Source organism: Homo sapiens, chromosome 17, assembly GCF_000001405.40.
Source record: "Homo sapiens chromosome 17, GRCh38.p14 Primary Assembly".
Classification (NCBI taxonomy): Eukaryota; Metazoa; Chordata; class Mammalia; order Primates; family Hominidae; genus Homo; species Homo sapiens.
The window spans coordinates 78,702,446-78,724,864 of NC_000017.11; the positions used below are offsets into that span (position 1 = coordinate 78,702,446).

At 45.2% G+C, this 22,419-nt stretch overlaps 1 protein-coding gene across 21 annotated transcripts in view, besides 3 other annotated features; it reads right to left on the reverse strand.

Annotated features, from left to right (window-relative positions):
- The window catches only part of CYTH1 (cytohesin 1), a 108,226-nt gene that overhangs the window by 28,398 nt on the left and 57,409 nt on the right, over positions 1 to 22,419 (reverse strand). For 11 of the 21 annotated variants that reach the window (NM_017456.4, NM_001365037.2, NM_001394677.1 and 8 more), the window contains 3 exons: positions 7,205 to 7,287; positions 5,752 to 5,816; positions 93 to 159 (listed from right to left, as the gene is read on the reverse strand). In NM_017456.4, coding sequence (NP_059430.2) covers positions 93 to 159; positions 5,752 to 5,816; positions 7,205 to 7,287 — 215 coding nt within the window. Of the gene's footprint in view, positions 1 to 92; positions 160 to 5,751; positions 5,817 to 6,201; positions 6,400 to 7,204; positions 7,288 to 9,863; positions 9,883 to 14,483; positions 14,591 to 15,631; positions 15,651 to 20,767; positions 21,122 to 22,419 lie in introns of those variants that run through there. The other 10 variants (NM_001365041.3, NM_001394678.1, NM_001292018.4 and 7 more) reach the window with 6 other exon arrangements.
- Positions 12,332 to 12,391: an enhancer, noted in NCBI's record as "active region_12902". NCBI's record gives its function as "activates an Ori minimal core promoter by ATAC-STARR-seq in GM12878 lymphoblastoid cells {active_cell/tissue: GM12878}" and the evidence as "EXISTENCE:reporter gene assay evidence [ECO:0000049][PMID:35858748]".
- Positions 19,816 to 20,085: an enhancer, noted in NCBI's record as "active region_12903". NCBI's record gives its function as "activates an Ori minimal core promoter by ATAC-STARR-seq in GM12878 lymphoblastoid cells {active_cell/tissue: GM12878}" and the evidence as "EXISTENCE:reporter gene assay evidence [ECO:0000049][PMID:35858748]".
- Positions 21,140 to 21,645: an enhancer, noted in NCBI's record as "H3K27ac-H3K4me1 hESC enhancer chr17:76719667-76720172 (GRCh37/hg19 assembly coordinates)". NCBI's record gives its function as "activates a minimal SCP1, AML or CMV promoter by ChIP-STARR-seq in primed H9 embryonic stem cells {active_cell/tissue: H9 hESC(primed)}" and the evidence as "EXISTENCE:reporter gene assay evidence [ECO:0000049][PMID:30033119]".

A 22,419-nucleotide genomic window follows, 5' to 3' on the forward strand; every position in this document is an offset into this window, starting at 1 on the left:
AACGCTTGGAAAAAAACGTTTTTAGGGTCTATCTGAGCACTATAAAAAAACCCCATCTAATATGGACCACTTCCCGCTTCTTTCTCACTTACCTTTTTAGGGTCCATATTAAATTTTTTCCTGCCCATGGCTACCTGTTTGTTCCTCTGCATGTTTTTCCTGTAAAACAACCATCACAGCCATTTTAGTACTTCAGGCCATCGGAAAGGCTTGAAAGACTAATATGATTTCCACTGATTTACACAGGTTTTTGAAAGATTTATCCAGGAAAGCAACAGGCATAATCTGGTGGAACTATGAAAGGCCAACTGAAACCTGAAGCCTGAACCTGGCTCCAAGCTCCAAGCTCATTTGCTCCTTCTACCCTGGAACAGAGGTTTTCTTTATTTTTTTTTGAGACAGGGTCTCTCTCTGTCTGAAGGCTGAAGTGCAGTGGTGCTATCTCGGCTCATTGCAACCTCTGCCTCCTGGGCTCAAGTGATCCTCCCACCTCAGCCTCCCAAGTAGCTGGGACCACAGGCGCATGCCACCATGCTCACTGTGTTGCCCAGGCTAGTCTCAAACTCTTGGGCTCAAATGATCTGCCTGCGTCAGCCTCCCAAAGTGCTGGGATTACAGGCATAAGCCACTGTACCCAGCCAGTTTTCTTTTTTTAACATGATTTTTAAAAAAACTTTATCAGGGTAGGCCGGGCACAGTGGCTCATGCCTGTAATCCCAGCACTTTGGGAGGCCGAGGTGGGTGGATCACAAGGTCAGGAGTTCAAGACCAGCCCAGCCAACATGGTGAAACCCTGTCTCTACTAAAAATACAAAAATTAGCCAGGCATGGTGGTGGGCACCTGTAATCCCAGCTACTCGGGAGGCTGAAGCAGGAGAATCACTTGAATTTGGGAGTTGGAGGTTGGAGTGAGTGGAGATCCACCACTGCACTCTAGCCCGGGTGACAGAGTGAGACTCCGTCTCCAAAAAAAAAAAAAAAAAAAAAAAACTTTATCAGGGTATAATTTACTTATAATACTCCTACTGTAGGTACATATTTGAATTTTTAGTATACTTACTAAGTTGTGCAACATCACCATAATCCAGTTTTAGAACATTTTCATCTCCCCTACAGAATTCCTCACACCTTTTTACAGTTAATCCTTACTTCTACCTCCATCCCCAGGCAACTATTAATCTATTGTCTGTCTCCACAGATTTGCCTATTCTGGACATATCATACAAACAGAATCATAAAAGATGTGGATTTTCAGATCTGGCTTCTTTCATTAGCATAATGTTGTCAAGGTCATGGTGCTGGAGCGTGGGCCAGTACTACATGCCTTCTTGCTGCTGGGTCATCTTCCATGGTATGGATAAACCACATCTGTTTATCCATTCACCAGATGATGGACACTTAGGCTGTTTACAGTTTGGGACAATTATGCAGAAGGCTGCTATCAGCATTTGCATATATGTCTTTGTGTGGACACGTTTTCATTTTCCTTGGGTAGATACCCAGGGGTGGACACTGCTGGGTCATACGGTACATCTGTATTTAACTTTTTAAGAAGTTGCTAAATAATAGGCAGTTTTCTTGACTGTATCAGAATGAAAAATGCAGATTCACAGACCAAGCTTCTCAAAGTCTGGTCCACCAACCAGCAGCCTTGGGAGCATATCAGACGTGAAGACGCTCCGCTCGTTTATACATACACGTCACCTGGGGCCTCAACAAAACAGATTCTGACTCTATGTCTGAGAAGGGGCCTGTGCTTCTGCTGTATGTTTAACATGATCCCATGTGTGGAGTCTGAGTAGCAAGGCCCTGGACCGGCTGAGTAACTCAGAAGTACAAGGGGCAGAACCTAGGAATTTGAATTTTTAAAACCTCCTGCAGTAATTCTGGTATGCACCCAAATTTAAGAACCACTGCCATCAATATCAATAGTAATTTTATAATCTCCGAGAGCAAAAAAGTTGCTCGGAAATAAAATCATAAAATGTTATTGCCTTAAAGAACACATGTGTTCTCTAGCTAAATCCATGGAGGGAAGAAAATATTCCTAAGTGTTTTGAGGGTTGGTGTTTTTTGTGTTTTTGTTTTTGTTACAGGCAGGGTCTTGCTCTGTCACCCAGGCTGGAGTACAGTGGTGTGACTGTGGCTCACCGCAACCTTTAACTCCTGAGCTCAAGTGATCCTCCGGCCTCAGCCTCCTGAGTAACTAGGACTACAAGCAGATACTACCACAACTGGCTACTTTTTAAAATATTTTGTAGAGACAGAGTCTTGCTATGTAACCCAGGCTGGTCTTAAACTCCTGGCCTCAAGCAATCCTCCTACCTTGGCCTCCCAAAATGCTGGTATTATAGGCATGAGTCATCGCATCCAGGCTGTTTTGACCTTTTGAAAGGAACACCTGAAAACTGTGAGTAGTATCAGAACTTCCAGGTGTAAGATAATCTGGGCTCCCCTGTCAACAGCTGCCTTAGGAAACAAAGTCATGGGGGAAACACCATTTAATTTCAGCCAGAATGAAGGGTTATGACCAGGTATCTAGAAATTCCTATTTAACTAAAATGATTGTCTAATCATTTTTTTCTAAATCCAGGAAGATTACTTTGATCAGTATTTCCAAACAAATACCACAAGGAAGGCCTGTTTCATGGTTTCCAGTGTAAGTGGTGAGGCAGCGTCAGAGGTGCCCACAGAAGCAAGGGGTGAAACTCCTGGGAATGCTCAGCTTCCTGGGCCTCAGTCCAGTCCTCACCAAAGGCTTTCCTGCAGCCACCAGAACGCACACTCCCAGATATCCGCCAGTCACAGTCTGTGCCACATGACTGCCTGGGACACACACCAGAGATGGCTCCCTAATTTCATTAGCTAGCCAGCTCACTTCTCTATCTGCCCCACTTGGAGCCCCTATAGCTCTAGGCCTTAGGCAGCTACTTCTCTAAGTGGCTTTCCCCAGCCTACACAGGTCTGACACCCCAGTTAAGGTGTCCAAAGGAAAACAGCTTACTGCTACTGGATCGCCTTAGTTAACTGACGCGTATACATTTCAGAAAGTGAAATCCTGTACTACATGAGTATATTATTTCTGCTTGATTAAATAGTATTTAGGATCATTCCTACAAAATGCATCAGATCGTCGATGAGAAACATGAATTCTCTCCTATAAGAAAGTCCGAGCAAATGTAATGCCTGCTTGAGAAACAAATGCAGGGTGAGCCTGAGTACCCGTATGGATGGATCCTCAGGGATGTGCAGAATCACTTCCGTCTTGGCGCTTTCGATACCGGAAAACCATTTTAAGTTCCAGATTAAAAAATAATAATAACCTAAAGACTACTTCCTGACTCACAACTTCAGATGCAGTTCATGAGTTACAAGTCTTCCCAAATTCACTGGCTGAGTACTTTGGATGCACTCACGTTCCTGGTGTCTGCGTTTCCTTGCTGTTCTATGGTAACTGACAGAGAATTAATCAAGAGAAAAACAAAGGGCACACTGAATTCTGAATATGTGTGTGCAGACACCGGAATATACAGAAAGGAAACGTACCAAAATATGAATCCTGATTATCTCTGGGATAAGTGTTTATGAGAAATTTGTTTTTTATACTTTTCTGTATTTTACCAATTTTCTGCAGTAAAGGTGTATTACCTTTATAGTCAGAAAAAAGCCATTTTTTTTTACATTTTTAAGATCGAGGTAAAATTTACATTTAACAAAATGCACACACCTTAAGTGCACAGTTCAATTTGTTTTGATGAGTGCATATACCCTTGAAGCACCACTCAGATTAATACAGAATATTCCTGCCATCCCTGTAAGTTCCCTATGGCCCTTCCTAGTCAACCCCACCCCACCCCGCCCCAGCAACCACCTCGGAGGCAGCACTGTCATGATTTCGGCTAGCACACTAGCACAGCTTAGTTTGCATGTTCTAGATGCTCACGCATGGAAGCACACGGTGCCCACAGTTTCTTTCACTCATCACAATGTTCGTGAGATTCATCCGTGCTGCTGCACGCTAGCAGTTCATTCCTTCACACTGCTGAGTAATAGTCTATTACCTCGACCTGTTTATCCAGTCACCTGCTGGCAGCCATTCAGGGTATTTCCAGCTTTTGGTTATTTTATATAAGAATGCTATAGATATTCTTGTACAAGTCTTTGTATGGACATGTTTTCATTTCTCTTAAGTAACTAGGAGTTGAATTGCTGATGAAACTGCCAAACTTCTTTCCCAAATGGTTATATTATTTTATTCTCACTAGCACTTGCCAACATGAGGTACCATCAGTCTTTTTAATTCTAGCCATCATAGGGGATGTGAAGTACCGTTTCATGGTGGTTTTAAATTACATCCCCTACAACTAATGATGTTAAGCATTTTTCATGTGTCTACTACACATATGGCTTCTTTTGTAAAGTGTCCAAGTTTTTTGCCCATTTTCTTATTTGGGCTGCCTTTCTATCATATATTCTAGATACAAGTCCTTTTTCAGATATATTTGTTACAAATATTTACTTCTAATCTGTTGCCTGTTCATTTCTTTTAATAGTTTTTAATAGTTTTATCTTTTACAAAAGCGGAAGTTTTAAATTTTTATGAAGTCCAACGTATCCGTTTCATTTAAGCTACGAGTGTTTAAAATGGAAAGAGGGGAAACTAATCCAAAATACCAAATGGACAATACAGAGACTGGCCGTGGTGAGCTGGCTGCCTTCTGTGGAGGACTCAGCCTCACTATACCCTGAAGGCACTGCCCACAGGAGTCTAAAACAACAAATCAAACAGTCCTACGAAGCCAGACAGGAAGACTTAGGCTTAGAAAAATACAGACATGTAGTGAATTGGAAACAGCTCATTTATTGCATTAAGCAGTCAGAAAACGGTCTGGGAACCCCATTCAAAACTAAACTCTCAAAGTCACTAACATTTCATGAAAATAAAAGGAAAAAAAAAAGCAGAGTCCTTGTCCTTTTATACTATCATCGCATTTCTACATTTTCTTCCCTTAAGCATTAGGAAGGTGCAAATAAGCTCACGATTATCCTCAGACATGACTGGACACTCCAGCCCTTTGAAATCGTATCAGCAGCATTCATTAAGCTTTTCCTTTACACAAAGGAAAAACAGAAACTTTAAAATGCACACCGACAGTGGACAACAGAGGGGAGTAATTCACATAAAAATTTAGGAGCAGTTTAAGGCTTTCTGGGACCTTTGAAGTTCTCCAGTTCAATTTTTTTTTTTTTTTTTGAGACGGAGTCTCGCTCTGTCACCAGGCTGGAGTGCAGTGGCGCGATCTCAGCTCACTGCAACCTCCACCTCCCGGGTTCAAGCAATTCTCCTGCCTCAGCCTCCCGAGTAGCTGGGACTACAGGTGTGCACCACCACACCCGTCTAATTTTTGTATTTTGAGTAGAGACAGGGTTTCACCATGTTGGCCAGGATGGTCTCGATCTCTTGACCTCGTGATCCACCTGCCTCGGCCTCCCAAAGTGCTGGGATTACAGCCGTGAGCCACCGCGCCCGGCCTCCAGTTCAATTTTTTAAACACTGGAAGAAGCTCCTATGTTCAGGAGGCCTTGCGGTGAAGGATGGAAGGCAGACATTATGGGTGTGTATGTGCTTGCTAGAATTAGAAAGACACAAAGCTGACTTTTTCCTTCAATGTGCCACGTAAGCATAATTAAGGCCTGGGTGCTTTAAGGAATTACAACCACAGAAGCCACCTGGCAGCAGGGCAGACTCACCTTTCCTCTGTGGATCCCAGGTTTTCAATTTCATTAGCTACTTCTGCTATCTCATCCTTCAGCCTCTATAAAACAGACAGTCCAGAGTCAGCAGGAAAGGCAGATGCAGATCAAATTAAAACTTCTAAAATCTCACATAACTCCCTCCAACCAAAAACAAAATAAAGCAAAATGAAACAAAATATGACAAAAATGCAAAAAGTAAATTAGGAAAATTCATGTTTCAGAAATATTTATTGAGTGCCTACCAAACAGTAAGCATTCCAGAAAACACCAAGGTAGAAAAGAATACAGCCTCTGACCTCAAGGAGTTTACGGTCTAGGAAAGTTTATAAGCATATATGCTGTGTGAAAAACAAAACCTGGCTGCCTCATCACAATCTTTCAGAACAAGTCTGCAGCTTACTAAACACAAGCATGCCAGAAAATTCAGAGGACAAAGTCTCCTACCCAAAGCCCAGGCTGCAGAGCCTGCAGTAGCTGTGCCAGGGCAACAATGCCACCAAGCGGCTGGCAAAGGGAATGTCTGATCAAATCGGCTGTGCATCCGCACCCACCCTCCTCATTCCAGCACACTGTTGGTCAGAATGGATGGGCTCTCACGGGGAAGTGGGGCTTAAGTGGAGAGCTGCTTAGCTTTCTCACGATCTACCAGTGAAGCAGAAATCAAAGGATCAGGGAGAACTATCAAAATATACTTAAATCAACTCCAGAGAAAGTCAAGTCTTTCCTCATTTTGCTACTTTGGGCAACAGGATTCCCTCCTTAACCCCACTCCTAATGTCTTGTGAAGAATTCTGAAAGAATAACATTTGCTGTCTTAGGGCGAAAATAATCCAACTATTGGCTTCTAGACTTATTTCCTACAAGCTTGATAGTTACAAAAAGGAACTTGGAAAAATTGTAATTGTAAAATTGCTATCACTAAGTACATCTATAGGGACCAGAAATTATGCTGTCTTTCATGCTAAGTCCTTCCAACTGTGTAGCAGGTGTTTTCATGATCTGACAGATGAAGAAACTGAAGTTCAAGGAACCGGAACTCTCTTGTCTCAAATCATTCAGCCAGTAAGCGGCAGAGCCAGAGCCAGGGCGTGGGCCGAGCTTCGCCTGAAGCCCACATTCTCATTGCCTCTCCTCATCCACTCTGCTCCGCAAGGGCAAACACAGCAGAGAGGACTACTCAGGAGACAGGAGTCTTGCAGGCTATCTCCAGCTCCGACAACCGACCAACTGGGTGAACCTGGACAAGCCACTCAACCTCTCTGACACTGCATCTCCTCAGCTGTAGAGGAAAGGTGACTGATTATCAACACCTACGCTTTGTGCAGAGCTGTAGTGAGGGCAGGTCAAAAGTGTCTTGAGGAGACACTCTGCAAAGGACACCCTTTCATACAAATGGAACTGTCACTGTGGTTCTTACGTTGGTGAAACCACCATGCCACTCTCCTACCTGAATGTCAGCCAGCAGCTCCTGTTTTCTCCGTCGGATGTTCTCCAGTTCTTGACGCTCCTCTGCTGTCAGGTCACTGGGAACTACAAAAATGGAGGGCAATGTTACAAGAAAGCTTTTATCTCGCCAAAAATCAAGGAAGATCCAGAGGCCACAAAAGGAGAAAGATATCAAGAAAGAAACTAGAAGTCAGTTTCAGAAATGACTGAGTGATAGAAATAGTTATGGCTCCAATTCTTATCAGATTTCTAAGAAAGGAAGGCCCTTAAATCACACAGAAAAGCTCTGAGAAACTCTTGGAAGGAAAAACGAGAGAGAAGAGATTACTGAAGGTTAAATTAGGTTGGCTATGAATGAAAAAGGATGAATATTAGCTGAGCGCCTGGCCATTTTCATCCCTTCCAGCTGGGAGACTTCAGGCTGACATTTAATTAATCTCTCTAGGCCTCAGCTCCCTCATGGTCAAAAACAGAGTCTCCGAGATGGAAAGATGTCCATGACCCCCTGAGGTGGGGAGGGGAGGCAAGAGGCAAAGCAACGTGTACGAACAATTTTGTGCCATCTCTGGGAGGGGTTTGGAGAAAGAGACTATGTATGCACTGAGAAATAAAAAAAGTCTAGAATATACACCTAAAATCAGTGCTTAACTCTGGGAACTGGGACTATGGGACTTTCTCTTTCTGCTTCATACCTTTCTTCATTGTTTCGATGTTTTACAATGTGCTCTTATCATCAGAAGAAAGTTACTTAATTCCCAGATCACAGCTCTCACCACAAAATACTTCTGCCATCCTCCAATGGCTCAATCTCCCCCACCTATACCAACAGGAGATTTGGACAGACACCCTCTAAAATGACCCTTCAAGCATGCTATGGGAAGCCATGTGGGCAAATGAGAAGAACAAGCATTAGAATCAAACAAACCAGGTTCAAATCCTAGCTCCAATCTACCAAATATCAAATTAGGTCACTTCAGACAAGTTATGTAACCCACTTGGGTCACATTTCATCATCAATGAAGTGGTCCCACCATCACCCACTTGATAAGGCTGCTGTGAAGATGATGTAGAGTAATTAAAGTGCCTCAAACCCTGCCTGGTGCTGAGCAGAAGCTCAGAAGTGTTGGCTCTTGTTCCCTCCATGGCACAGCAAAGGGCACCCACACTCTCAAGGGTAGGGGTGGTTTGAGGGTCCTTCTATCCTTCAGTGGGTGCCTATGTGAGCCTGAGCTGCACTGTACAATATGGCGGCCAGGAGCCCCACGTGACATTAACCACTTGAAATGTCACCACCCAGTTTGAGATGTGCTGTAGGTAAAAAATATACACCGAGGCCGGGCACAGTGGCTCATGCCTGTAATCCCAGCACTTTGAGAGGCCGGGGCGGGCAGATCACGAGGTCAGGAGACCGAGACCATCCTGGCTAACATGGTGAAACCCCGTCACTACTAAAAATACAAAAAATTAGCTGGGCGTGGTGGCAGGTGCCTGTAGTCCCAGCTACTCGGGAGGCTGAGGCAGGAGAATGGCGTAAACCCGGGAGGTGGAGGTTGCAGTGAGCCGAGATCCCGCCATTGCCCTCCAGCCTGGGAGACAGTACAAGACTCCATCTCAAATAAATAAATAAATAAATAAATAAATAAATAAATAAATAATATATATATATACACACACACACACACACACACACCAGACTTTCTATAAAAACAAAGGAAAATGACTTTTTAATAATATTTTATATTGATTGCACATTGATATAACTTAATGAAATGTATTATTTTAATTGATCTCAAAGGAACTAGTATGAAATAAAAGTGCATCTATGGCTCATATTATATTTCTAGACAGCATAGAGTTGGAATTAACATCTCTGCTTGAGAGCACAGTTAGGATACACATACTTTCCTTCTGCCCATGGCATTAAAACTTAATCTACTACATTCACAGAGCAGTTACTTTCCCCAAATATTTCATAAAAATCACAAGAGGGTAGAAACAATAGACTACAGTGAAGTGTACAGTGGGTTAATTAGCTACATTAGAAAAGCCGACTTTTCCTTTTTTTTTTTTTTTAACCTAGGTTTTCCCCAACCTTCTCTAAAAAAGTGTTTTTTAAACATCTCAAAATCCAAAATAAGAAAAGCATTTTAGTCCAGGCCTTGTAGCTCACGCCTGTAATCCCAGCACTTTGGGAGGCCAAACCAGGCAGACTGCTTGAGCCCATTGGGACCAGCATGGACAACATGGTGAAACCCTGTCTCTACTAAAAAAAATACAAAAATTAGCTGGGCATGGTGGCACATGCCTGTAGTTCCAGCTACTCGGGGGGCTGACGTAGAAGGATTGCTTGAGCCTGGGGTGCAGAGGTTGCAGTGAGCCAAGATCGCACCACTGCACTCCAGCCTGGGCAACAGAGCCAGACAAGAAAGAAAGAAGGAAAGAAGGAAAGAAGGAAGGAAGGAAGGGAGGAAGGAAGGGAGGGAGGAAGGAAGGGAAGGAGGAAGGAAGGGAGGGAGGGAGGGAGGGAGGGAGGTAGGAGAGAGAGAAAGAGAGAGAGAAAGAGAAAGAAAAAGAGAAAGAAACAGAAAAAGAAAAGAAATGCATTTTACATCATGACCCAATCTCCACCATACATAAAAGTATCAAAAATAATATCTCACCATGTCTGTTATTTCACTGTGAGCTTTCTTAACAGTGGTTTAGTCCAGTAAACTGATTTTATGGCTGCATGCGGTGGCTCACACCTGTAATCTCAGCACTTTGGGAGGCCGAGGTGAGTAGATCACCTGAAGTCAGGAGTTCAAGACCAGCCTGGCCAACATGGTGAAACCCCGTCTCTACTAAAAATACAAAAAAAATTAGCCAGGCATGGTGGCAGGTGCCTGTAATCCCAGCTACTCAGGAGGCTGAGGCAGAAGAATCGCTTGAAGTTGGGAGGTGAAGGTTGCAGTGGGCTGAGATCGTGCCACTGCACTCCAGCCTAGGCAACAAGAGCACAACTCTGTCTCAAAAATAATAATAATAATAATATAAAAAATAAAAAATAATTATTTCATAATCAATTAGGTAATCGTATAATTACCTAATATACTGAGTCCTGTGGTTTGAAAAACACTCTTCCTTTAGAGGCTGGAAGAGACAGCCACTCTAAAGATCCCAACAGACCAACTAAATCCAACCCAGGTCACCTTCACAAGAGTGGGCCTTAAACTGCGTCCCTGAGAACTCAAGGGTGATCACTCAGGTGTGTGTATTGGAGGACGGAGCCTTAAATAAGTTCACCTACACACCTGCTCTCCAGTCCCATTCCTGTGTCAAGACCCAGGACTCCAGCTCAGCAATCCATCAGCATTATGTGGATTCTAACCCTGCACCCCCGCCAAACCCACCACCCCAAATGTTTCTTCCCAGGCTGAACAGTTCTCCCAACATTAAAAAATATATATATATATATTAAAATGGCTGCTTCAGGAAAAAGTCAGACAAATAAGTGAGCTCTGGTTAAAGCAAAAGCCGTTTTGAAAAACAACATCAACTCTACTGATGCGTACACCGTTCTACAGAAACGCATGTTTAAAGCAGTTCACTCTGATTTTTCTGTGCTTCACAGCCCAGAAAAATTTCTAGTCCAAGTAGAAGACCCCTTTAAGAAATTAATTTCTTCAGGTTCTAGAAGATACATATTCATTCCAATATAACATGGTTTTGAAATTAAGGCAACATTCATTTTTTAAAAACAGCTGCTCCGCAAGAGGCTCAATAATTGGGATTTGATTTTGAAGCTACAGAACTGGCTTAATCAGATCATCAATGTATCTCTACCCAGCAGAAGCAAGACTAAATCCAAGGTCCATATAATGAAGCTGATGAAAAACAGAGCAATCGTATAAAAGAAATTCCTATCTCAAGACTGCTATATACCCTGAGAAGCCAACTTGTATCATTCTAAACTGGAAACTCTAAATCGTTGCTTTCTTTTCAGAATCTGAGCACTCAACCATTCTGGGTTTAATATTCACACATGACAATTTTTCTGGATGGACACAATCTACCCAGCAGAAGCAAGACTAAATCCAAGGTCCATATAATGAAGCTGATGAAAAACAGAGCAATCGTATAAAAGAAATCCCTATCTCAAGACTGCTATATACCCTGAGAAGCCAACTTGTATCATTCTAAACTGGAAACTCTAAATCGTTGCTTTCTTTTCAGAATCTGAGCACTCAACCATTCTGGGTTTAATATTCACACATGACAATTTTTCTGGATGGACACAATCTAGCTTCTGTATTATAAATTCAAAATGCCCTTCTAGTCCTCTATCTTCCAAGATATTATTTTTTAAATAGTAAAGGAATAGGCCAGGCGCGGTGGTCCACGCCTGTAATCCTAGCACTTTGGGAGGCTGAGAAGGGTGGATCACGTGAGGCCAGGAGTTCAAGACCCGTTTGACCAACAAGGTGAAACCCCGTCTCTACTAAAAATACAAAAATTAGCTGGGCGTAGCGGTGCACACCTGTAATCCCAGCTACTTGGGAGGCTGAGACAAGAGAATCGCTTGAACCCCAGAGGTGGAGGTTGCAGTGAGCCAAGATGGCAACGTTGCACTCCAGCCTGGGCAACAGAGCAGGCCTCCATCTCAAAAAAATTTAAAAATTTAAAAAAAATAGTAAAGGAACAAAAACATCCATAAACCTACAATATCAAAGAGTACACAGAGAAGGGCCATCAGAAGAGATTTCAACAAATTTCCAGAACAGAGAAAGGAAAGAAACAGTGCTAAGTGCTAATATCTTCTAGAATAAAAACTCCACAAAGGCAGGGACACCGTATGCCTTGTACACTGTTGTGTTTGTGGTACTCAGCACAGGGCCTAGCACACTAAGGATTTCACACACACACACAAACACACACACATGAACGAAGCCAACTTTCTCATGAGCAGACAAGTGTGGAGCTGGTGTCCAGGGTAAAGCCTCCATATGTAGACAGCGGACACCTAAGAGAACCCTACCCCAAGCAGGCTCTGGCTCACTCGCCCTGAAGCCAAGCCTCCCTGCCCACAAGGCCCAGCCATGCACAGAGCTTCCGCTTAACATGTCTACTGCTTCACTCTTACACTTACAGAGATAACCACACCTATGCCAGGAGTGAGAAAGGACAAGACAGGGAACAGAAAACTCACCCTAGAGCAAACAGAGATAATTAGGGGGAAAAAAGAAAGAAAAAAAAAACCTTTAAAAGAACAGAAAACTCTGGAAAAGGGACAATTACAGAAAAAGAATACGGCCTTGCAAATTAAACATACTTTTGTCCCCCACATCAAAAAAGTCAACGAAGGATTAAAAGATAAAGTTGGGGCATTCCTGTAGAACAAAGAGGTTTGAAAATATAAGCAAACCTGGAAATATAAGCAAAAAAATAAACTCGGTTGAATAAAAATATTTTTAAATCCCACAGAGAAATTCTCATAGGAAAAATTCAGAAGTTCCAGGAATAAAGACGATCCTAAAACCTCCACAGAGGTTAAGGAGAGTGATTAATCAGACCACCCACGAGGGAAGATCTCGCTGGTGTCAGTATAAGAGCCCGCACACTAAAGATAGCGCAGTGGAACTTTCAAAATTCTAAATGAAAATTATCTGAACCCCAAATTCTCAGTCAAGTAGGAGGGTAAAACAGACTCATTTCAGATACATAAGGATCAGAAAGTTTGTCTTCTGTGCACCCCTTCTGAAGAAGCTACTTCAGGAGCAAGATGTGGATCAAGGAACGGGACTGACTCAGGAGCCTGAGGACAGCAAGCGCCATCAACTGTGATGGCCAACAGCCACCAGACCGGGTCAGAGCAGGAAGCCAAAGGGCTGCCAGAGGAATGCCATCAGAAAGAATGAAATCAGACTCGAAACCAGAGAATGAAGGAGAAAGCAGCTGAGAAAACTGTGTGATACCAACAGGCATCATTCGGTTTCCTCTCAAGAGAATAAAAAGGACTGGGCAACAGGAAAAACTCAACTACAGGAAATCACAGAAGAAATGAAACATGCCCCCCGAGTGGTGTCCTCTGGGCCATCAGGGACGCCAGGAACAGCTCCCTTTGAGTGGGCACCTGGCTCTACGGTGAGTGGTATCTACATTCCTGTCATGGTGCTGGTCGCTGGTAGTTAACTTACAGAATCACCCTGTAGACAAAGCATGAAAGACCAACCCAGGCTGGAGAAGCAAAGCTATCTGTTACCAAGGTGAAGGAAGAGCTGACCAAAGTTTGAGGGAAGCAAAGTGGAGAGGGCAGCAGGGTCCCAAATGGTCCCCACAGCTTCCTCCTACAACACTAGAGACCAGAGGCATGGATAAGGATCATGAACAAGAAACCCACGCTGTAAATATGCCAAAGGTAAAAATCCAGGAACTGAAAATTGTGATCAACTACCAAAAATGGACAGTGAGAGAAGGAAGGAAGAGAATGGTGTGAGCTGCATCCTCATCCATCATAGGCAGAAGGCAGGAGATAACCTTTGATCTTGACAAAATAATCACCAATTTAAGAACTTGGCAGCACCCACTAGAAGACCTAAAAGCAGAAAAAAGTGAATTAATAGTGGCTGCTTTGGGGAGTGGGTCTGGGAATAGAGAGACAGGACATATAAGCCCCTGAATACTTGCTTTAAAATACATATATATATGTACTATGACAATTTGAAAACAAAAGACTAAAAATGTACAACTATGGTCACTAGAAAAGATAGCCCTTCTGTGTCCTTGGAGTCAGACAGAAAACGCTTCTGGCCAATTTGTAGCTAGAATAAATAAGACATTTATCTACATTTATTTTGATCCAATCTCCTGACATTTGCCACATGACTGCTAAATTACTTCTCCATTCCATACTTACTAACTTTAAATCATAATGCTGCTCCCCTTCTGGCTCAACCAATCATTCAAGAACTTTATTTTAAAAAGCTGAACTACACCTCATTTTTCTAGTGGAATTTTATTCTGAGATGAGGCAAAATCTAATATTTTAATAAGTATTTTCCTCTGCATAAACTTAACAATGCAACATCAAATCTTTAATTCAAGCCTTCATTCTCATGCTGCCCCGGACAGAAAAAACATCCAAAAACAAAATGCTTAATTTCATTTAGCAGCATGAAGAATCAACACTATTGCTGGAGAGCTGAGGTGTGATTGATTCCTACAGTCTTGGCTAGTGTCTTCAGGACACTGCGAAGGCCACAGCTGGAACAAGAAAGGTGGTGGTCAGAAATACCCATGTCTACCTCACAGCCCGGGAGTTTCTGGGAAAGCACCGTCCGCACCCTGGGAAACCCGTCTATTCATGCCGCTTCTCTCCTGTGTAGCCATTAGGGTTAAACTGCAAAAGAACGGCTCAGATGGGCCAGATGGCAGCACAACAAACAGCTCCTCCCTCCCCCACTGCCACGTGCTGCAGCCATGCTTATGTGCCAGGGAGGCGGTGTGCCAGGGAGGCGGCTGAACCCCTTGCTCTTTAAAAGAATGGCCACTGGGGAGGGCAGCAGGTTGTCCCTGCCGGCAGCCTGAGCACAATGGAGACAAACCAGAGGGGGAGCCGCCCTGACACACCACCCGGTCGCTCGCCCTCCTCGCCCATTGCCAGAGGGGCACCCGGAATCCATGCCCACAAAGGTTAATCTGCAAGGTGTCCGGCTGGCAGTCAGGGGGACGGTCCAGCATCAGCCCCATCACCATTCCTTTCCAGGGTTCCAATTTAATGAAGAGGATTAAAGTGACAAAAACAACAAGGCGCTATTGTGCTTGGCTGTGAATAGGAAAGCCACACAAGGGAAGCTTTCATTTATTTATTTATTTAAATGTTGCTTTGCAGATTTTAACAGTCGGCAGAAACCCAGAGCTGAAATGGGTTCCAGCCAGTGGCATACAAAGGAGGACTGTCTTAAAGGGACAGAGCCCTCTTTCCAAGCCAGAGGACGATACATGAGCACACGGCGGGCTCTAGTCTAAAATCCTGCAACCCGCGCTCCACCGGCCACAGGCAGATGCCCGGGGATATGCCATAAAGTTCCACGGAAAACGCAGCTCTCTGACAGCAGGTTCTGCTTGGCAGACACATAGCAGCTGCCAGGACCACACTGTCCTAAATCCCCGTGGGTACCGTCAAATGAACGTGTCCAAGGCATGCTTTAGGACCAGGATGTCTCTTTGAGGTCATCCAGCTGGCACCAGACCCCTCTGCCTAGCTTTCAAATACATCACTTGCCTTATTTTTTTCCACTATAATGATTAACCAGCATCCTTCTTACAGCCTCTGCCTTTCAATGGATAAAAAGGTCCATATTTAAACCAACAATGCGGGGAAACATTTTATAAAGTAATTAAGGAGTGAGCCCTCATTTGCGGAGAAGGTAAATATACAAAAGGTAACTACCTTAGTCAGAGTTGCTCCCAGGCCAAGGAGGTCATTGCCATTTCCTTTTCATCCCCTCCAGCTGGCCTGCTGCCAACGGGTGCCCTCCTGCTAATCACGGCCACACCCCTTTACAGACCTGGAAGTTTCATAAACACTGAATACACACACACACACACACACACACACACACACACACACACACACACACACGCTCCTTCTCTCTTAACCTTAAGCTCTGCCTAAAACAGCAGTGGCAGTAATGAAATAAAGCACCCAGCTTTTCTACAGCCTCTACAGAAACTACCACCTGCTCAGAGGAGAACAACTGGCTATTTACAAACCAGGCTTTGGGCTCAAAAGCGCGCATCTGGGAAACCATCTTGTTCCTCCAACCTCCAAAGATACAGTGATCATGGCGTGAGGGCTAAGAAACTCCAAATATCCTGAGCACTGGTTCCAGTATTCAGCACTTACTCGCCACATACCTGTGTCAATCCTACTAGTCAGACCTTAAACAAACCAGCGTGTTCACCTCCCTCTGCACTACCCTATGGGTGTAAGTCACTTTGTCTCCCAGAAAATCCCAGTGACTTATAATTTGAAAAACTTCAAAATACTGGAAACAACTCAGGCTTTGGAGACATACCAATGTTCAACAAACTGCTAATCTCTCTGGGCCTCAGTTTTGTCCAGCTGTAAAATGGCACTGCAGTTATTAGCACTGTTGTGAGGAATGCGTGATGGAAAAGATAAAGCTGTGAGCACAAATAGGTGCCCAACAAATGCCAAATGTCTTTCCTTTATCTGCATACCCAATTCATCTTCCTCTTTTGCTTCTTTCTAACAATGTCATCATTGACGCATTCAGCCTGCATTTACTGCTTGCCTACTAGGTGGAAGGCAGCGGGGGTACAACACTGAAGAGACAGATCTGGTTCCTTCCGGCAGGAGCAGCAGTCCCTGGAAGCATCCACTGAGAAGGTGATGACTTCAGGTGTGCATGTTAACGAGGGATCATGCACAAGGCTGTATGAATCCACAGCATGGGTGCCTCACCCAACTTCTGGGACGGATCCGGGGACTGCCACTCTACAGGGAGTGGTCTTGGGTCCTAAGCCTAGCTTGGGGCCACACTCACCAGCTGGATGACCCTGGGCAAGTTACTTCGGCTATCTGTGCCTCAAAGCAAACAGTAAGCTAAGAGGTTGCTTCCTGAGCAGAGTACTGTTTAAAATGACTACAGCTTTTATATCACTTGGGGAACATACAAATGACCCACAATAATACAAAATCTGGTAAGTTAAAAACTATAGGATAAGAAGGCAGTGCTGTGAGGCATGGCTAACAACTGCAGGTAAGGCAGCAAACAAGAAAAAAAAACAGTCGAGGAGTCAAAGATAAAGTTCTTACAGATCATTACTGCAAGTGGAGAATGGCTTGGTTTAGGGGAACTTTTTTCCCCTCACTGAGAAAAGTAATTTTCAACTTTCACAAAACTCCATGCTGACATTACAAATATGTGGGGTCAGATCTTTAAGGCAGGGATAAGAATGCAACCAAAATCCAGTGTATCTTTCAGGTAAAATGTAACGGAAGAGAGATGTAAAGCAAACAGTTGTAATGATACCAGGATTTTACTGGAAGCCTGAAATTTTGAGACAGTCCTCAGGATAAATGTTAGGATCAGAGGATGAAGAAAGATGGATGTAGCAAAGGGGTGTGACTAGAGCAGGAGGCCCAGGTGACACTTTCTGCCAATAATACACTGAAGAGTTCACACCTTCACACAGTCTATCTACTTTGGGAAACCAATTAAGTTTCCCACTCACTGAGTCAGAAACACAGTAATACTTTTCAAACTTAGTACCTTAAAAAGGAAGGAAATTCTGATGTATGCTACAACACGGATGAACCTGGAGGACATTAAGCCAGTTGCAAAAGGGCAAATACTGAAGGATTCCACTGATAAGAGGCCCCTGGAGTAGTCAAACTACCATAGAGACAGACAGTGGGATGGATGTTGCCAGGGGCTGGGGAGAGGGGGAGTGGGAGAATGAAGGTTTAATGGCGGGTTTCAGTTTTGCAAGATGAAAAAGTTCTAGAGACTGGATTGCACAATAATATGAACGTATGAATGTACTACTGAACTTAACAGGCTGAAGATGGTACATTTTTTGTTATATGTATTTTACCACCATTAAAAATAAAGGCCTGGCATGGTGGCTCATGCCTATAATACCCCCGGCACTTTGATTTGTTTTTTTATTTGTTTGTTTTTGAGATGGAGTCTTGCTCTGTCACCCAGGCTGGAGTGCACTGCCGCAACCTCAGCTCACTGCAACCTCTGCCTCCTGGGTTCATGCAATTCTCCTGCCTCAGCCTCCCCAATAGATAGGACTACAGGTGCCTGCCACCACGCCCAGCTAATTTTTGTATTTTTAGTAGAGACGGGGTTTCACCATGTTGGCCAGGCTGGTCTCAAACTCCTGACCTCAGGTGATCAGCCTGCTTCAGCCTCCCAAAGTGCTGGAATTACAGGCGTGAGCCATCGCACCCAGCCATCCCCAGCACTTTGAGAGGCTGAGGGAGGGAGATGGCTTGAGCTCAGGAGTTTGAGACCAGCCTGGGTGACATGGCAAAACCTCATCTCTACAAAAAATACAAAAGTTAGCCACATGTGGTGGCACGCACTTGTAGTCCCAGCTACTTAGGAGGCTGAGGTGCGAGGACCGCGTAAGCCCTGGAATGTGGAGGTTGCAGTGAGCCCAGGTTGCACCACTGCATCCAGCCTGGGCGACAGAGAAAGACCCTCTCTCAAAAAAATAAAAATATAAAATAAACAAAAATTTCACAGCATATTCTAACTTCTCTGTCTGCTTACCTTAGTTCCTTTCCCAAGAAACTATGATTTGACTTTTGCGTAGTGCATTTTAAAATAAGTATCTCACCACCAATTTGCAGCCTAAGAGATTTGTTAAAAGAATTTACAACTGGGTGTGGTGGCTCACGCCTTGTAATCCCAGCACTTTGGGGGGCCGAGGCAGGTGGATCACCTGAGGTCAGGTGTTCAAGACCAGCCTGGCCAACGTGGTGAAACCCTGTCTCTACTAAAAATACAAAAATTAGCCAGGCGTGGTGGCATGCAGCTGTAGTCCCAGCTACTTGGGAGGCTGGGGCAAGAAAATCGCTTGAATTTGGGAGACAGAGGTTGCAGTGAGCCGAGATCGGGCCATTGCACTCCAGCTCGGGCGACAGAGCAAGACTCCGTCTCAAAAAATAAAAATAAAAAAATTTACACACACTACCCAGGACCAAAAAGAGTTAAATTAGCAGGCAGCTAGCAGAAATGGTATTCAACATAGAGGCAGAGGTGCCTTCCGGCAAATTGCCAATATGAATATTTAGACTATTCTAATTTAAATTTCTTCCATGCAAAAACTACCCAGTTTCCCCACTAACAGTAAATCTATTAAAGGCTTTTATTACTGCATTCTGCATTTTCAGGGAAGACTTCGGTCCTCTTCTCAGTGTTGGAGCCGTCTCATCTGACAGCTCCTCACGTTCACAGGCGATGCTGCCTGGGCTTTCACTCACTACTTTGTGACCTGGAGCAAACAATCACCTCTTCCAGCCTCAGTTTCCTCACTTATGTAATGAGGATGTCACCCAGCCCTTCTCAACTATCTTATAAAAGGAAGGTATTGGCTGGGCGCAGTGGCTCACGCCTGTAATCCCAGCACTTTGGAAGGCCGAGGCTCGTGGATCACTTGAGGTAAGGAGTTCGAGACCAGCCTGACCAACACGGTGAAAAACCCCATCTCTACCAAAAATATACAAAATTAGCCAGGCATGATAGCAGGTATCTGTAATCCCAGCTACTTGGGAGGCTGAGGCAGGAGAATCGCTTGAACCTGGGAGGCGGAGGGTGCAGCGAGCCGAGATCGCGCCATTGCACTCCAGCCTGGGCAACAAGAGCAAAACTCCATCTCACAAAACAAAAAAGTAAGGTATCAAAAAATTTAATTTAATAAATCCTAGAACTCAAAGACTTAGCTTGCATTTCAAGGTAGTAACAGAACCTAAGTGACAAAATTTTATCCTGCGAATTTGGTTTAGAAAAATAAAGTTAACATCCGCTTTCAATAAAAGCTAAAAACTAGAAAACAACCATTTTAAGAACCTTAACTTTTTCTAAAAGCTCACAGTGACAACACCTGATATAGCTGACATAGCTGGGGTTTCCCAGCAGCTTCTTTCTAGCACTCCACTGCTGTTTCGAAAGGATCCCAGGGACTGGGCGCAGAGCTCCACAGGGAAGAACCATTTTCTAGCCCTAGCCTCCTTGAGCCAAGTGGCCTGCTCCTTCACTCCCAGGGAAAGCCTGGAGTTCCCTCTTCCTCCAAACAAGCCAAAACAGCTTGCTCGCCCCTCCTCCCAAGGGGGCAGGCTCCTGTCCCCTGGGTGAAGCTGCCACTCCCCGTGCCTGCCAGCTGCAACCACTGTCAGCTTGCACAGCTGGGCCACGACACCCCTTCCGTGTCCAAAAGAGAGGCTTGGTGGCTTGGAAGTCAATTCTCTCTCACTTTACCCTCAGTGGCTCAGATCTGTTTGTTTGCTAGCCCTTTGTAATGCTCTGAATTTTTCTGTACATTGAAATATTCTCCCTCAGTCTGACAGCTGGAAAGGACCCCTAGCATTAAACGCGACGTACAATTCCAACTCCTTTTCTATGTGTATTGATGGAAAGAGGACTACTCGTGCCCAGGAAAGGTTCCCAAGTCCTTACCGAGTAAAACAGAAACTCCACGGGTGGCAGGCCTAGAGGGGAGATCACCCTGAATCTGTCCCGCTGTTTTCTGCCCCCCTATTTCAAACCTCACGGAAGCTGGACCAAGGAAATTGACTACTGGCATGTTCCTAAGTCTCAGGCTTAGAAGAAACGACACTGAATGCCTGGATACCTATCCAAAAGTGTAGTGGAAAAACCTTCAGAGGAGAGCATAGAATGCAGACCCAAAGGACAGACATGCAGAGAGACAGCCACGCACACATCAGCTCCTACTGCTGGCTGCTGGGTGGGAGAGGCAGGCAGGCAGCAACGCATAATGGGAAATCTGCTGACAGGGCTCCACACGCCATCCACCAGCCTCTTACCCACGGTGAGTCCCCTCTCCTGCGGCCCCAGTGTCCTGGCCAGCCCTGGGCAGCAACATCAAAGCCTCGGCAGGTCACAGCTCTCCACGTCAGAGGCCATGGTGGCTCCGTGCAGCGACCCCACAGTACCAGGCTGCCGGGAGCTCCCACAGCTGTAGGTGCAGGGAGAGCCGGAGCAAGGACAGCATGTGTGCGCCAGCACAGCAGGGGTAGAGAAGAAGGTGTCCAGAGAAAACAAAAGCTGAGAGCACCGGCCCTGCAGGTGGAAACTCGCTGGGCCCGGTGGGGAAGGCTGGCGCAGAGCGCAGAGATGGACGCGCAGAGCTGCAGCCCTAGCAGACGCTCCGAGTGTGTGCTGCTCCGCTCCTCCAGGCTCATTTCCATGAATGCAGTCACAGCCAGCCCCTCCTACTATCCCCCATTCCCGGCCTCCCGGGGGGGAGGGGAGGCACCACCAGCATTTGCGCACAGGCTGCACTTGCTTTCCTCTCTCCCTCAGAAGCAAAAGCCTAATGCCTGCTTTCACTGCAAGAATGCCAACCTTACTCCAGATGCCCTCTCCTTTCTGCATGGATAAACAAGAGACTGGATCTAGGGGGTGGATGTTCTGTCACCCCAAAGGCACAAGCCTAGTCCTTTCCACTGCCCCGCATCAGGTCAGCAGGCAAAGTGGCACTGACCAGACTGCTCCAACACCGTCCTGGAGGGGCTTCAGGAGGAGTATCCTTTGCTCCCTTCCTCCAGGGATCCCATGCCCTCCACTTCCACGAGGGACACTCCAGCCTTTTCACCAAGAAGGACTCGCCTCCTACTCAGTACACTCGCAGCCACCAATGGTTATTTCTTCACCAGAGGCTGTGGCATCGCCTTTGAGGACACCTGCCTATTATCAGGTTGGAATGTTAGGCAAGCGAACCTTGGGGATGATAATACAAGATGGCTGGTGACAAGAAATATGGCTACAGCCTGAGGATAGCAGCTCTCAAACCTCAGAGGGCACGAGAATCACCAAGGGCGCCTGTTAAACACGCAGATTTGGGACCCCAGTCCCAAAAGCATGAACTCCAGAGACCCAGGCCCCTAAGTGACACAGAATACAGGGTTACTGCAGACCACACACAGCTTTTGACTAAGAAGGGAGGAGATATTTTTTAAACAATTCTAAAATAACCAAGGAGAGAAAGTAAAAGGGAAATCACCGTGCTAGAGCAGGGTTCTTCAGTCTGGGCATTACTGGCACAGGGAGCAGGTCACTCTTTGTGGTGGGGGCTTCCCTGTGCCTTGCAGGGTGCTTAGCTGCGTCCCTGGCCTCTACCCACTAGGTGCCAGCAGCATCCCCATCCCAATTCCCCACAACCAGGTTTGACAACCAAAAATGTCTCCAGGCATTGCTGAATGTCCCCTGCGGGACAAAACTGTCCTGGTTAAGAACCATTGCTCTAGATAAACAATGGAAGAGGGGGTGGAAATCCTAAAAACACTCCCATACCCTCCCTCCTTTCCAGTCTCCTGCCGTTAGGAAATCAGTCATGGAAGGCACCCGCCCCTCTGCAAGCCCTGCCTCCACTGCCATGCCATGGGGGTTGGGCTGGCTGGGGAATGCAAACAGACGTCCTCATCACCAGGCAGTGCCACCAGGCCTGACCCAAATA